The sequence below is a fragment of the Homo sapiens genome, chromosome Y, assembly GCF_000001405.40.
Source record: "Homo sapiens chromosome Y, GRCh38.p14 Primary Assembly".
NCBI lineage: Eukaryota > Metazoa > Chordata > Mammalia > Primates > Hominidae > Homo > Homo sapiens.
Window position 1 is genome coordinate 12,677,706 of NC_000024.10, and position 17,509 is coordinate 12,695,214.

At 38.1% G+C, this 17,509-nt stretch overlaps 1 long non-coding RNA gene across 5 annotated transcripts in view; it reads left to right on the forward strand.

The window, feature by feature from the left end:
• Nucleotides 1-14,528, forward strand: part of TTTY15 (testis expressed transcript, Y-linked 15) — a 29,882-nt gene extending 15,354 nt beyond the window's left edge. For 2 of the 5 annotated variants that reach the window (NR_001545.3, NR_174085.1), the window contains 2 exons: nt 8,808-8,901; nt 9,759-14,528. This is a non-coding gene — a long non-coding RNA (testis expressed transcript, Y-linked 15). The remainder of the gene's footprint in view (nt 1-8,807; nt 8,902-9,758) is intronic. The other 3 variants (NR_174087.1, NR_174086.1, NR_174088.1) reach the window with 2 other exon arrangements.
• Nucleotides 14,529-17,509: the final 2,981 nt, after the last annotated feature.

The following is a 17,509-nucleotide window of genomic DNA, read 5'->3' on the forward strand; positions in this document are numbered from 1 at the left end:
TGTAAGCCACCATGCCCGGCCGGCGCAGATTAGTTTTATACATTTTAGGGAGACATGAGATATCAATCAAACACGTTTGTAAGATGTAGGTTGCTTTGGTCCAGAAAGCCTGGATGGCTTGAAGCCAGGGCTTACAGGTTGTTGGTAGATTTAAACATTTTCTGATTGGCAGTTGGTTGACAGAATTAAGTTATTATCTAAGGACCTAGAATCAGTAGAAAGGAATGTCTGGGTTATGATGCTGAGGAGTTGTGGAGACCAAAGTGATGCAGGAGTTTTCTCTCCTTAGCTAAGCTAGGTTTGGTTTCTTGTCTCATGACCAGGAAAAATTAGGCATGTGGACACTCACAGAGTGAGTGGAGTAGAATTTATTAAGCAAAAGGAAAGCTTTCAGCAAAGAGAAGGGTCCTGAAAGCAGGTTCCTGATTTCACCCTTTACAGTTTAATACAAGGGATTTTACATACAGACATATAAGCTGATAGTCCTGGTTTCCCTATTTGTTTTAAGGTGCCATTCCTGGTGGCTCTACCTCCTTCCCCCAGTGCCCATATGGGCCCTTAGTCTGCTGTAGGCATGCTCAGGCAAGCCCTTGAGCAAATTCCCTTAATCTGCACGAAACATGGGCTGGAGATTCAGTGGGACCCTTTCTTTAGTGTCTGCCTAATGCAAGCTGGCTAACTCCTTTCAAAAGTTTTGTCTTGCTGATGAAGCCTCCAGGTAGTAGGCTTCAGAGAGAATAGATTGCAAATGTTTCTCATCAGACTTAAAGACGGTTTTATTAATAATTCTGAAAGGGAGGAGCCTGTAATGAGGCATGTCTTTCCTTTGCCCTGCACCATGGCTTGAACCAGTCACTCAGGGTAACCCTGGAATGTCCTTGCTAAGAGGAGACATCCATTCAGATGGTTGAAGGGCTTAGAATTTTATTTTTGGTGTACAAGGTCACAAAGATTTACTCATTTTTTTCTCTAAGGATTTTATATTTATAGTACTTACATTTGACATACAATGTTGTGGGTTAATATTTGTATGTCGTGTGAGGTACACATTCAGATTCATTCTCTTGCATATAGATAATTGTCTTAATATCATTTGTTGAAATGACTTTGCTTTCTTCATTGAAAGGTATTAGTACCTTTGTCGAAAATCATTTTGTATAAATGTAACACCTTACTTCTGTTCTTCTAGTTCTGTGCTGTTGATCTGTAAGTCTGCCCGTTTGTCAGCAATGGGCAAATTAATTTTTATTCTAAATAGGAGCAACTCTTCTTTAATTTTTTTTCCCAATTGTAGTTAAATACACATAACATAGACTATACCATCTTAGCTCTCTGTAAGTGTACAGTTCAGTGGTATTAAGTATATTCACATTATTATGCATCTGTAATGATAGTTAACCATTTTTTGGTAGCCTTAATTACATTTTGGCTCTTATATTCTCTATTTCAGTAATTGAGAAATAGATTTTTATCTTCTCTTTGGTTCTCTTAAGTACTGTGTTCTTGAAAACTACTATTTAAAATTGTTTTTGCATGTCTGGCATTAATATTTGGGTACAGGTTAATGCAGGGCTTTTTCTGAACCCCAGCTACACAATAGAGTCATTTGAAAGAGTGTTATCATGTCCTTCATACTTCTCCCTCCCCCATTCTCATTTGATTGGTCTGAGACCTAGAAAAAGTTCTATTTAAAAGAACTGCTGAACAACAAAGAATTACTTGGTTATTGTTTCTGAGCATGAATAAACCTTTTAAATGAACAAGAAAATTATTTTTTTAATTAATAGTTTTTATATAGCAACAGTTGTCATTTGAATGTTAATTATGCTAGTACTGGGTAAGCATTTAGTATTCAGCATCTGAAACTCTTATTTCCATACACATAGGCTCAACTAGTGGGTATTCCAACTCCTGTTATGCCTGTTATTGACAAAGTGTATTATAATTTAATGTACTGATTTTACATGCTTTTTCTTCTTAAACAAAGAAACTTGATTTTCTTTATGTAACAGAGTTGCCTGAGGTTTGATTAAAATTTTTTGATTGTAATTTTGTTTTAGAAATTATAAAAATGGTCTGTTCTTTGAGAAATGTCTTGATTAGCCACAGAGATGTTAAAACTTTAGATTGAATAAGATTCTCATTTCATTTGCGTCTTAACATGTGAAGGACATTTTACTTGTTGAGTTTATTCTTTTAAAATGTTTGGTTAACATAATGTTGCTAAAAGATGCAAAATTGGGGCATATGTCTCCCTATCATTTACTGATATCATTCCATAAATTAAAAGTTTGGTTTTACGTGACACTGTATTATGTTAATTTAAACACTTTAAGTTTAATTCAGTTTTTAAAACAGATTTAATATCTACAAAAGTTTTTCAAACTTTGTTAACTTTTGTGGATGTGTATGTCTGTGTGAGTGTGTGTGCACGCACGTGCATGTGTGAAGTTTACAGTATTTATACAGCTGTTGAAATAGTAATGTTTACTTCTTGTTTCTCATTTTGCTTTTTTCTTAGTTGAATGTGCTAAATTCCCTATTCAGAAAGGAAGAGAGAAATACTTTAGAGTATAATCTGTGCAGGTTCTTAATGTTAGCACAAGATTCTTCACAGATCTGTTCAGCAAGTAGTGTAGAAACTAGGACTACAGTAATAATTAAGGTCAGCTTATATCCTTACTGGTATAAGAGGAAGAATACAGCTGTATTAAACTTCTTGAGCTTTATGTATGTTTGGATTTGAATTTATCGTCCCCAAACTTTCCATTTTTTACTGTTGATTATGTGAACCCAAAATATGTGAGACACATCTCAGCCAATTTGGAAAGTTTGCTTTGCCAAGGTTCAAGACACATCCATGACACAATCTCAGGAAGTCCTGACAACATGTGTAAAGGTGTTTTGGGAAAAGATTGGTGTTACACATTTTACGGAGACTTGAGACATCAATCAGTATGTCTCAGATGTACATTGGTTCGTTCCAGAAAGGCAAGACAACTTGAAACAGGGAAGGGGCTTTCAGGTCATAGGTAGATAAGAGACAAACAGTTACATTCTTTTGAGTCTCTGATTAGCCTTTCAGTGAATACACAATTTACCTGTGGGAGGAGGGTAGAGGAGTAGTCACTTATGCCTTGGTTTGGCTTAAGGAAACATGTGAAAGGCAAATAAATCTTGGGGCCCCCAAATCACTAAACTAATGGGAAAAGTCAAATCGGGAACTGTTTAGAGCCAGCCTGCCTCCCATTCTATTCACAGTCACCTCTTTGCTAACTGAGATAGATACATATCTGATTGCCTTCTTTGGAAAGGCTGGTCAGAAACTCAAAAGAATGCACCTGTTCATCTCCAACCTATTTGTGGCCTGGAAGCCCCCTCCCCTCTTCAAGTCTTCTTGCCTTTGCTTCAATTTGTCCTTCCTTTTCAGGCCAAACCTTAATGTATGTTGATTTATGTCTCATGTCTCCCTAAAATGTGTAAAATCAAGCCATGCTTTGACCACCATGGGCACATGTCATTAGGACATCCTGGGGCTGTGTTAGAGGCATGTGTTCTCAACCAAAATAAACTTTCTAAATTAACTGAGACCTGTCTCAAATTTTCAGGGTCCACATTTTGGTAACCATTGAGGGATTGTGAATGGAGATGCCCCTGACCTTTTACAGGTCTCCTGTCAGTGCTTGGTACCAGGATGAGTTAACTTTATGGCTCAAACCAATAGGACAATTTGCTGAGGTCTGAGAGCACCCCCTCCTGAGAAGCCCTGATCTCCCCAAATTTGGTCAAGATCTGTAATTTATTTTGCTGTACAACTCCTCTTTTATTTTGGAGTTTTACTTACTTCCAACACAAGGAAGGCAAGTCTTTTCCTGCTTCCGTGATGATCGAAGGCAAATAACTCCTTTATGGAGTTTGAGCTTGCTTCCAACAAGGAAGATGAGGTTTTTTTTTCTTGCTTCTAGGATGGTAGAGACCAGTCTACAGCCTGAGACCCATCACTAGTAAGAAACTGGTTTGGAACTCTGTCTTTCAAATTCTTTTTAAATGACTAATGTTACCATTAACAACCAGCTGGTGTTAATTTCTGCTTACACTTAGAGCACTCAGAAATTTTATAATTTGTGTGATTCTTACTAGTTTAGCAGCATTTTGTCCTAGCTGACATATGGTAACAAGATTAAAAAAATTTTTTTTTAAAGAAGTTCAGTGGTTAAAAGTCAGCTTCATTAAAAGGCCGACATCCAGGATGTGTGTGTGTATGCATGTATGTGTGCATGTTTTTATTTAAAAGGCCTTCATGTTTTTGTTTTTGTTTTTCTTTCCTAAGACCTTGTGTTTTTTTGAGCAAATGTCTTTTTTTTCATTTTCAGTTAACTGATTCTGTTTCCACCTGGGTTTTTTTTTGTTTTTGTTTTTGTTTTTTTGACAAAAAATAGTTATTGCAACAGAGGCTACTCTTGGGTTTTTAAGAACAATGTAGTTTAGACACTCAGAAAGGTCTTTAAAAAATTTTTTTAAGTGCACTGTGTCTCCCTGTAGCACCACCAGACTTTTTCTCTCTATACTTTTTGATGTAAATTTTGCTATTTGATTTTCACCTGAGTTGTTTCCTTTAATATGCAAATTTAAGGCTATTTAGCTGACAACTGCCTATGGTTGTAAAACTGGTTATTAAGAATCTGAAAGTCAAAGATAACAAAAAGGAGGGGATGTCTTTTTTTTTTTTTTGAGACAGAGTCTCGCTTTGTTGCCGAGGCTGGAGTGTGCAGTGATCTCCGCTCACTGCATGCTCCAGCTCCCAGGTTCATGTCATTCTCCTGCGTCACCCTCCCGAGTAGCTGGGACTACAGGTACCCACCACCATGCCTGTCTAATTTTTTCTATTTTTACTAGAGACGGGGTTTCACCGTGTTAGCCAGTACGGTCTCAATCTTCTGACCTCGTGAGCTGCCTGCCTTGGCCTCCCAAAGTGCTGGGATTACAGGCGTGGGCTGCTGCGCTCATACAAAAGGGGGATGTCTTTATGAATCTATAAAATGTCTTCCATGGCCATGCCTAATACATTTATGTATTTGTGTTGTGTACACAATGTTTCACTACGAAAATTAGATAAAAGCTCTAATTGGCTTAAAGAAAAATAAAAGCACATAAATCAGATACTGTATCAAAAAAAGACTGGTCAAATGCTTTTTCAGATTTATGAAACTTAAGTAAAATCCTTAATAAGCTACCTTTAAAATTATTGTTAAAGTAATATTAGGAATGTCTTAAGAATTGCCAGCATACATTTTTTGTTTTGCATTTATTAATCAAGCAATATCATACTTATCCCTGGCAAATATTATAAGGTATCAAAATTTGTCATAGGAGTTACAAAACTAAACGCAGCCAAAAAAAATCCCAGAAGGATTTTTGCTTGTGTACTTTTTTCTTTCTTTCTTTCTTTTTTTTTTTTTTTTTTTTTTTTGAGGCAGAGTCTCTGTCACCCAGGCTGGAGTGCAGTGGTGGGATCTCAGCTTACTGCAACCTCTGCCTCCCCTGTTCAAGCAATTCTTTTGCCTCAGCCTCCTGAGTAGCTGGGACTACAGGCACGCACCATCACGACCAGGTGGTTTTTTTATTTTTAGTAGAGACAGCGTTTCACCATATTGGCCAGGCTGGTCTCAAACTCCTGACCTCATGATCTATCCACCTTGGCCTCCCAAAGTGCTGGGATTACCAGCATGAGCCACTGGCCCCAACCTATAATTTTTAATATATTAGACACTGAGGGGCCAGGTGTGGTGGCTCACGCCTGTAATCCCAACACTTTGGGAGGCGGAGGCGGGCGGATCACGAGGTCAGGAGATCGAGACCATCTGGCTAACACGGTGAAACCCCATCTCTACTAAAAATACAAAAAATTAGACGGGCATGGTGGCATATGCCTGTGGTCCCAGATACTTGGGAGGCTGAGGCAGGGGAATGGCTTGAACCCTGGAGGCAGAGGTTGCACTGAGCCGAGACGGTGCCACTGCACTCCAGCCTGGGCGAGTGACAGAGCGAGACTCCATCTTGGGGGGCGAGGGGGGAGGGAAAGAAAGACATTGATATGGGTTTAATGAAAATAGCTGCATCTTGAATTTAGTAAGATTACCTTAACATCTAATCCTGTGGATTTAGGCAGTCAAGTCCACAGGCAGTAAGGAGGTTTGGGAAAGGACTGTTACTGTCTTTGTTTCAAAAATAAACTATAAACTAAGTTCCTCCAAAAGTTAGTTTGGCTTATTCCCAGGAATGAACAAGGACAGCTTGGAGATAAAGAGCAAGGTGGAGTCAATTAGGTCAAATCTTTTTTCAGTGTCTCAGTTGTAATTTTGCAACGGTAGTTTTCATAGCTTTAAATTCATGACTATCACAGTTGTCATAAATAATCTAAGTAAACAATTAAAATCATTACGTAAATGTAATGCAATAAATATTTGTAGACAAACTGGTCATAATTTTGAATATAAAATTAAATAGTAAATACTTCATTATTTGGGTACTTTCCAATAAATAATATATAATAGGAAAACATTCTTGCTAAAACAAAGAAGTGTATTCTTTTTAAACAAAAAAAGGTAAAAAATTTTTGCCTAATTCAAAGCTCATTTAAAGGTTATGTATAAATATGGTAAAAGGAACAAGGAAATAAAAAGAGATGTAAAGAAAGTTGTAAAAATAAAGAGGTTTTTTTGCATGTGGTATGAAAGCTTAAAGAGAAATACTTTTATGTGAGAAAGAACCTTATGTGGTAAATTTTAGTCCTAAAATAAAATGACTGGTTGTTTAAGAAGGAGGAGTGTTCAGGACGAACTAGAAAATCGAAATATTAAGTTTTGGTTTGCTTAAGGAAAAAAAGTGAGACTAATTTTTTTTTTTAATTAGCGTTATTACATGTGCATCCACGTATCTTCCTGTATGTGTTTTTAAAGTTCTTGTGACATTGAGTTACAGGGCTTTGACTCCTGGATATAAAAAGAACACCAAGTCCTGCTAAATCTTAAACACTGAGAGCGATTAAAGTCTCATCTTCAAGCCCAGTAGGAGATTCCAATCAAAATAAACTGCATTTGTGAGACAAAGGGGAATAAATAAAAACTTTAACTCCTCAAGGCCCAGGGACAGTTGTGGAAGAGGTAGGCATAAGATTGTAAGGGCCAATTTTGAAAGATAAAATAAGTTCAATTCCTCTATGAACTAATCATTAATGTCACATGCACACTGATGCAAGATGAGTATATGGGCCCCTGTGTGAGATTAACAAAATTTTCTTGAAGCATTAACCAACCCCTTAATAAAGGTTTTTCAGGTTATAAAAAGATTTATGGAAGCTATATCTTATGGTTAAAGTTAAAATTTTATAGGTTGTGGCTGGGCGTGGTGGCTTATGCCTGTAATCCCATCACTTTGGGAGGCCAAAGCAGGCTGTGATTGCCTGAGGTCAGGAGTTCAAGACCAGCCTGACCAACATGGATAAACCTCTTCTCTCGGAAAAATACAAAAATATTAGACAGGTTTGGTGGTGCATGCCTGTAATCCCAGCTACTCGGGAAGGCTGAGGCAGGAGAAGTGCTTGAACCTGGCAGGCAGAGGTTGCAGTGAGTCAAGATCATGCCATTGCACACCAGCCTGGGCAACAAGAGTGAAACTCAGTCTCAGAAAAAAAAAAAAAGAAAATTGTATAGATTGTTTATACAACTTTGACAAACAAATTTAATTGGCTTCATGCTGTTCTTCTTAAGGCTTATTGTTTGGAGAATTAGGTCTTCTTTCAAAGAATAAAGGTTCTTGTCTTTTTCTGAAATCCGTGACTTGTCACTTTCGTTAAATGAATGACTTATTTTATAATGACCTGTGATCCTGTTTTGTGATATTGTCTTTAAAACCTTTGATATTTGGTAAACTTTCCAAAATCAAATGATAAATTTTGTCTTTTTCTGACCTAATTAATTCTTTAAGATACTAGGTTTCCTAATGTCCAAAAAATAACATAATTTGGCTTATTTGGTACAAAAATTATACAGGAAGCATTGTCAGATATGAAATGGTGTTGGTTTTTGTTTGGCCTATATTTGTATAAATATGTTATTATGTGTTCCAAAATTACAGGAAACTCCTATAGTTCTGATATAACAGTGTATATTATCAATAATCATAATTGTTATGATAAAATTATTGCATGCCACAGAGGTAACAAATTTCCTTGTCAGTTGTGTTTTTGACTATGGCTGCTCTAAAATGTTTTGCCATCCACCGACAATTGTCTTGCTTTTGTCTTCAGAAGGTGGTTTTATAATCAGATTTAAAACTCTAGCAGGTGCTCTTGAATGCAGGTTTCTGATAACTTTGGAGAGTGTGACATCAGAATAGAGGAAAAACTTTCAGGACTCATTGAGAGCTAAAATGAGTATTTTATGTTGTTGATGAGTATCAAGCAGAACAGGAATTAACTGCATGGACTGAACTAATCTTTTTGACTTTTTGCTTAAAATGTTGTGAATCTTTTTTTTTGGTTTTCAGAGTCTTAAAACTTTTCTTTAGAGCTATTGACAGCTGTTAACAGTTTAGGACACTCCCATGAACAAAATTTGGAGCATATTTGTTTCTCTTTACCTGATTTCTCCCAAAATTGCAAACTATCTGTAAGTCTTCTTAACTTATGGAAATACAGTTATTTGCATAAGTGCCATCAGAATCTGTTTTCATTTGTAACACGACACAATTGGACAAACTGGTTATTTTACCAAGGCTTTGACTGGAATGATGTGCTTCCCTTTAAGGAATCAAACTTGACGTATGGAGCCAAGAAAGCCCTTGGAAAAACTGGCCTCATATTTTGTGTACACAGTCCCTGTACAGGGTTTCTGACCTGTGGTAAGTAAAGAATGTTACTTTGTTTTTTGTTTTTTGTTTTTGTTTTGGGGACAGAATCTCGCTCTGTCTCCCAGGCTAGAGTGCAGTGGTGTGATCTCGGCTCACTGCAAGCTCTGCCTCCCGGCTTCATGCCATTCTCCCACCTCGGCCTCCTGAGTAGCTGGGACTATAGGCGCCCGCCACCAAGACCAGCTAATTTTGGTTTGTATTTTCAGTAGAGATGGGGTTTCACCATGTTAGCCAGGATGGTCTCAATCTCCTGACCTCGTGACCTGCCTGCCTCCACTTCCCAAAGTGCTGGGATTACAGGCGAGAATGTTACTTTCTAACAGACACAGAAGCCCCAAGTTTATCTTGGAACCCCAAGAGGAGAGAAAATCCATCCAACTCAGATATTTGTTGGCCCAAATCCATGGCTTAAAAAAATCTTATGTGGGATTCCTTCTGTGGAACAAAGTTCCATCAAAGCCAATTTAAAACTCATGTAAAAAAATAATTATTCCTGCTGCAGTGGAATATAAATAATCTGGCCTGTATATAAATAATCTAGCCAAGTATATAATACAAGTATTTAATATACTTGTGTACAAATAATCTGGCCAAGTATATAATTTAAAGCAAACCAGCCCTACCATAATTTGTCTTTAGGGAAAACGGAAACGGAGAGAGAAAAATTGTGTTTCGGAAAACTATAGTACACCTGTTAGATTCTAAACTTGCCTACTGTTTTTCAGTTTTTATTATCTCTGCAGTTCGGGCTGAATTCTAGTTTTTTCTTGGCTACAAGTCTTCAAAATACTGTTTCTAATTTTTTTCTGCTTTTCCTCCGTTTTTTTTCCCCATTTTTTTGAATTCAGAGTCACTGAAAACTAAGCTGCGCTTTCCTAAAGTCCTGCGAACTGAAGCCAGACAACTTAAACCTCAGAAGAAAATAACAGCAACCTATTTATATACATAAGCCACTTTCATACCTGCCTACTGTTGTATAGACTTCAGAGTAATGTGGCCTGTATCGATTTTCCAGGAGTATTCTTTTGTGTGTTGTTTTTTCTCAATTCCTCCTATTTTCTCTTTACAGGATGTGAGACTTCACAACCTGCTAAAAATGAGCTTTCAGGACCTACCCATATAGGAATAAACCATCCTAGCCATGAGAGATCAGATGAAACCTGAGACCAGAGAGACTCATTTGTTTCAAAATAGTTTCTCCAAAAGATTTTATAAAAGAAAAGGCTGGGGGGAGTGGGATATGAAAGGAAAATGAATCTTGGGGCCCCCAAATCACTAAGCTCAAGGGATAAGTCAAGTTAGAAACTGTTCAGGGCCAACTTACCTTGCATTCTATTCAAATTCACCCCTCTGCTCACTTAGATGCATATCTGATTGTAATCAGAAACTCAAAAGAATGCAGCAGTTTGTCTCTCACCTATCTATGACCTGGAAGCCCCCTTCCCCGTTTGAGTCTTCCTGCCTTTGCTTCACTTTATCCCTGCCTTTCTAGACTGAACCAACATACTTCTTAGATATATTGATTGATGTCTCATGTCTCCCTAAAATGTATAAAACTAAGCTGGGCCCCAACCACCTTGGGCACATGTCGTTAGGACTTCCTGAGACTGTGTCACAAGTTTGTGTCCACAACTTTGACAAAATAAACTTTTTAAATTAACTGAGACCTGTCCTAAATTTTTAGGGTTCCATCAGATATGCATTTCTCTCACCTGAGCATCAGAGGGATGATTTCGAGTTCTCTGTGTTTTTTGTCCACAGGAATTTCCTTGTGGGCAAATTCTGAGGGAGGGATGTAGCTTTTTTATGTTTGGAGCTATTTTATTTAGAAATAAAATGGGAGGCAGGTTTGCCTGAGTCAGTTGCCTGCTTGACTTCCTTTGGCTTAGTCATTTTGGAGTCCTGAGATTTATTTTCTTTTCACATACCTGTTTTATTTATGATGGTTTATGGTCATTGAACCTTGTAACATTGATTACATTTCTTTTCACTGGTCTTTTTTCTTAAGTAGATAAACTTATTTTTAACTTGGGCACAAGAGAGCATAAAAATTATATGAGGTACATAGCCTGCTTAAATAGAATATTTAAAATACGTTTTGTCCACAGAGCTGGAATTCTTTGTAAATGAAAACCAAATTTTACTTAATTTTTAGAGATAGGATCTTGGCTTTGTCGCCTAGGCTAGAGTGCTGTGGGGGCAATCATAGCCCACTGCAACCTCGAATTCCTGGCTTAAGTGATCCTCCCATCTCAGCCTCCTGGGTGCTTGGACAACAGACATGACACCTTACCTGGCTAGTTAAAAAAAATTTTTTTTGTAGAGATGGGCTTTGCCTGTGTGGCCCAGGCTGCTCTTGAACTCCTAGGTTCAAGTGATCCTCCAGCTTGGGCCTTCCGAAGTGCTGGGATTACATTGCTTCCAGCTTTAGTTTTTTAAATGTTTAACTTGTTTAACTTATTTAACTTGCTGTTTATTATTTAATGGAGAGCTTTTAGTGTTTGTCTTTTGAGGTGGGATCTTGCCATGCCCAGACTAGCCTTGAAGTCCTACAGTCAAGTGATCTTTGCATCTCAGTCTCCCAAGAAGTAGTGGTAGAGAATTTTTATGTTACATTCCTTTCTCTGTGTATATGTTTGTGGGAGGACATATGTCCCTTTGTATGTTTGGGCATATATATTTTTTGTGTGAAAGTTATGCATGTTATTGTTGATCAATACAAGAGGTTTAGAGGCCAGAGAAGAGAAATAAAATGGGAAAAACTACAAACATTCTACCTCCCATGATACCATGCTATAATGGCAATCATAATATTTATGTATTTTTTACTTTTTTGTGTTCATTTTTAAAAATTAGATAAAAATAGTTTAAGCTAGAGGCTTCTCTCTTTCATCTTTTTTTTTCTAATTTAAGTTTTCCCTAAGTAGGAATTTTGGTAATACTTCATTATATTGATGTATCAAGATTTCTTTAGTTTCTCCTTTGTTGTCTTTAGGTTGTCTACAATATTTTTTGTCATTGTGAATATGCTGTCATGAACATTTTGATGCTGATTATTACCAGATTAGTGTGTTGTGTCAAAGTTTTCATCAGTTGGATTATTTTTCAGTTTAGTAAGTGATGCAAGCCAAAACTAAAACTCTAAGGCACCTTCTCCCCACCCAACCAGTCATCTGAGTAGACTTCCTCCTCAGCCAGGGCAGTCATAGCCCACTGCAACCAGCCAGCCCCTTTCCATTCCAGTATCCCTTTCCCTTTAATAAAATTTAAGGCCAAACATGGTGGTTCAATGCCTGTAATGCCAGCACTTTGGGAGGCTGAGGTGGGCGGATCATGAGGTCAGGAGATAAAGACCATTCTGGGAAACATGGTGAAACACTGTCTCTACTAAAAGTATAAAAATTAGCTGGATGTGGTGGCATGTGGCTGTGGTCTCAGCTACTCGGGAGGCTGCTGAGGCAGGAGAATCGCTTGAACCTGGGGAGGCAGAGGTTGCAGTGAGCAGAGATCATGCCACTACACTTTAGTCTGGTGACAGAATGAGACTCCATCTCAAAAAAAAAAAAATGATTTGTGAGATGAATTTGTTTTGAAAATATTAGCTTGTTTTCAGTTGTGATACATTTGAAGTTGGTACAGAGTCCATTTTCTTTTATGTGTTAATGTATTGACAATATAGTTGTGTTGACAACTTCTTTTCTTATTTCCAGTTCAGTCTTTACAGAAGCTGACGAGAGATTTCCTTGTATTTTATGGTGGTATGATTGGCCTTAGAGCACTTCAGTTTTGAGATCTCTGCTGTATTTGTATACAAGTATTTTGGAAGGTCAGTTGATAGGATGAATGAAAAACAAAAATTGGAAGTAATGGTACTAGTAATAAGTGGGGATTTTCATGTAGGTAAAGGAACTGATAAGTCATAGGGAATCCGTGAGTTCTTAATCTTACTGAGTTTAGTTGTGTTCTTTGATTATTTTGGATAGCTTTGTTTAACGGTGAATGAAATGATTAAAATGGAAAAATTAAGTGCAGAAAATATGTTTAACATTATATAGGATGTCTTGTTTTAGGCATTTATTGCTAGATAACATATGTCCATTCTTGTATTGCTATAAAGAAATATTGGATACTGGCTAATTTATAAATAAAAGAGATTTATTGGCTCATGATTCTGCAGGCTGTACAGGAAATATGATTCTGGAATCCGCTTGGCTTCTGGAAAGGCCTCAGGAAACTTAGAATGATGACACAAGGCAGAGGGGAAGCAGGCACATCTTACATGGCAGGAGCAGGGAGCAAGAAAGAGTGAAGCGGGAGGTGCTACACACTTTTAATAATCCAGATCTGAGTCAGGCATAGCAGCTTATGCCTATAATCCCAGCACTTTTGGGAGGCCAAGGCAGGCAGATCACCTGAGGGTCAGGAGTTCAAGGCCAGCCTGGCCAACATGGTGAAACCTCATGTCTACTAAAAGTACAAAAATTAGCTGGGTGTGGTTGCACCTGCTTATAATCCCAGCTGCTCAGGAGGCTGAGGCAGGAGAATTGCTTGAACCCGGGAGGCAGATGTTTCAGTGAACCAAGATTGCACCACTGCACTCCAGCCTGGGTGAACAGAGTAAGACTCTGCCTTAAAAGTAAAATAAAATTAAATTAAAATTAAAAACCAGATCTTGCAAGAACTCACTGTCAGAAGAACAGCACCAAGGGTATGGTGCTGAACCATTCATGAAGGAGCCATCCTCAAGATCCAGTCATCTCATACCAGGTCCACCTCCATCTAATATTGGGAATTACAATTCATCATGAGGGTTGGTGGAGACATGGATCCAAGCCATGTCACATATTATCCTGACTGTAGTGGTTTAAGATAACAATTTTTATCTCACAATTTATTTTGAATACAGGCATGATTTAGCTGTGTCCTTTGGTTCAGTATCTCTTCAAAGCTGTAATCAGGTTTTTCATGTGTTTGTCATCAACTGAAAGATTGACTGAGTATGGTTCTGAGATCTCTCAGGTGATTATTGGCAGAATTAAGTTCCTTTTCGATTCTTGGTCTTATTTCTTCACCCATCTACTATAGTGCATTCTTGCCATGCAGCCCTTTTTATGGAGCAAGTCACAATACAGCAGCTTGCTTCATTAGGGCAAGCAAGCAAGACAAGCTGCAGCAAATGCAAGTAACATGGAAGTCTTTATAATCTAATCATGGAATTGACATAGTTAAAAACAAATCATTAGGTAGGCTCCAAATTGATCAGAACATGGTTATTGGACAAAACCATGACTGTCAGGAGGCTGCATCATGGGGAGCCATTTTACAAGCAGCACCATGGGTGTTATGGGGGATTTTATTACATTTGTTCTGCTCTTAAGAGTTGAAAGTCTTTAAAAATGTGTAAGTCTGTCGTTTGTTCTTGACTTCTGTCATGTTTTCAAGAATGCATTATGCAATGATGTAGAATACTGTTTGTAAAGTAGTTGTCTAGACTCTAGTGAAAATAATTACAGATAATCTCAGTTCATCAACGAATCGGTATATTAATGTCATATTTAACAGTTATAGGAATAAACTAAGCATAATAATAAATGATGATTTGAATGTTATTATAATTATTATAGTGTCTAAAGCAGTGCTTCTTGACTGGGGCTGATTTTGCCTTCTCATAGGGCATTCGGCAATATCGGGGGACATCTTTGGTTATGATGTGAGGGGATGGTGATTAGCATACACTGGTTGGCATCTAGTAGGTAGAGGCCAGGGATAGTGCTAAACATCATACAGTGCACAGAATTCTCCCACTTGCAAAGAGTTATCTGACCCAAAATGGTAACAGTGCCAAGGATGAGATACCCTGGTCGGCAAGATTATTGTCATTTCTTTGTATAAGACTTCACGTCTGTTACTAGCCTTAAGCCCCATAGTTTGAGAATATACATATATTCTAACAATTATTCAGTATAATTGGTATAATGTACAATTTTTTAGTGTATATACATATACTAACCCATAGTCCTTCTTGCTGCAGCTTACCAGGACCAAGCCAACAACACCTGTAATAATCTTAAAATGAGGGTCATTGTATGTGTGTGTGTATGTTCCTTGCCTGATATAAAGGGTATTATTATCTGAGCCACATAAGTATCAGCTGTCTAAAAGTATATTGCTTTTATCGAGGATGATTTTAGTAATTGTAAGTACACGCTTAGTGCAGGAATTACGTTAGTGAAAAGAATCATGGGAGGCTTCTTTGGCTTCCTTTTAGCTACACAAAACAAGTAGTAGCTTCCTCAAGGAAGCTTTCTCTTCCAGTTACTCTCAAATATTGTTCACAACTATTTACTGTGTTGATTCCACTTGAATGAAGTTATTTTGACCTAGCTCTCCTCTACATGTTCATAATTACTTAATATTCTTTCATCAGATAAAACTAGCCGCAATTGATGTGCATGCTCTGACCTTTTTTATTCCTTCTTATTAGTGTATGCTTAATGTTTGGCTTGCCTGGCCTGTGTTCTCTCATGTCTGACCTACAAGGCCCAGTTCATATGCCATCTTCATGAAATATTGCATCTTTATTTGGTAATGATGTACACTCTTTGAACTCTGCTTGCAATTTTTCATGAACCCAACACTTTCTACTTTATTTAATCTTTTGTGTTTTTGTCTTCTACTGGAACTTAAGTTTATGACTATTGGCATGGTCTCTGGCCCAGTAATAGTGATGCAGGATTTTCTTCATGGTCCCTTTGCCAGTTGGGGACCTCTGGAAATTGATGCTGGAGGCCTCACTTGGGACATGCTACCTGCCACAAGAGGTACCCCACCCCATATGCTTGCCCAGGTCCCATCTGGCTTGTGCACTGGTTCTCAAGTTCTTGTCCCGTGCCCAAGAAGAATGAGGATATGCTGACAATCAAGAGAGTGAGCAAAGCAGGGAGTTTTATTGAGTGATGAAACAGCTTTCAGTGGGGAGGGGACAAGGGGATGGTCCTCCTACACAAAGGCTGGAAAGTGTCCCTAATATGGCTGAGTCTGAGGCTTTTTATGGGCTCAGAATGGGAGGAGCAGACCCTAGGTAGTACTGGAAAAGAAAGAATTGATTGTGAAAGGGTGGGCAAACAGCTGGAGAAATTCCCATTCTTGGTCTCGAATTTCATCCAGGACCAGCATCTGGTCTTTTAGCCTTCAGGCCATTTTTGGCTTTATGGGGTTTTACCAGGGACCTATCCCTATCTGCCTAGGCATTTGGCTGCCTCTTACTGCTGTAAGTTCCCTCCTCTGAAGAGGTACATCTGACTGCCCTTAGGTTAGGGATGAAGACCAGTCTTAACTGCTTCCTGCTGTTACGGGTGCTATTTTGGGAAAACGGCAGTCAGATCTTCCTCAGAGGCCTGCCTAAGGGTCCTCAGTAAAAGGGGCCATCGTCCAGGTGTCCTGTTGCATGACCGTTTGGAGTTTTATGCCCTGAAGATGAGAAGCGACAAACCTGGTTATTAGAAGTCACGTATGAAAATGAAACGAGGGAAAGAACAGCTGAAAAATCTGGAGGCTGCTGACATGCCCAGATAACTGGTGGCTACTGGTATGCCTGTTAAGATTTGGGTGAATGGGGCTTGGCTTTGGTTAGTTCCCTTGGTTTTATTTTCCCAAAGAAACCTCTGGGTTATCAGCACCCTGTTTACTCTTATCACCTGGCAGGATTTGCAGGTAATTACCCAGAATTAGAATATTTATCCAGATTTTTATATTATCCATCCCTTTTGTTTCTTCTGAAATGCAGCCAAAGATCACTGGTTGGTTCACAGGAATAAGCAAGGTTAGTTTAAAATGTAGGCTAAAACTTACAACAACTAATGAGATTAAAATTATGTAAGTTTTGAAATGTAATTTTTCATTTTCCAGTTCTCATATTTGTTAAAAACAAATCATGATAGGACTCTGAGTTCTTTGCAAAATAAAACTTTAGTTTTTTTCCTTGGCCTGCTTGTTTGTACAAAGGGTAGCAAGAATAATTATTTTTCACATAGGTGCTCTAAATTGTCTTTGATGGAACTCTGCTCCACAAGGAATCTTAGACAAGACCTTTTAAAGCTGAGCTCAGCCATGGGTTTGTACCCTCAAATATCTATGAGTTAGGTAAATTCCCTGTCTTCTTGCAGTCCCAGGATAACATCGGGCTCCTGGGCCTGGTGGTAAGTGACATTCTTTACTCACACAGGTTAGGAGCCGCATACTAGGACTGCATAGACAAGGTATGAGGCCATTTTTCCAGAAGGGGTTTTATTGGCACTGCAAGTCAAGCTTGATTCCTTAAAAGGAAGCACACCCTTGCAGTCAAAGCATTGGTAAAACCACCAGTTTCTCCAGCTGTATCCTGTTGCAAAAGAAAATGGATTCTTACTTCACGAATGCAGATAACTGTATTGCCATAAGTTAAGGATACTCATCAATAGTTTCCAAATTCTAGAGAAACCAGGCAGACAAATGTGCTACAAATTTTGTTTTCAGGAAGATACCTTACTCAATTGTTAAAAGTGTAGATATCTCAAAAGTTTTCTTGACTCTGAAAAACAAAAAAACAAGGATCCAAAAT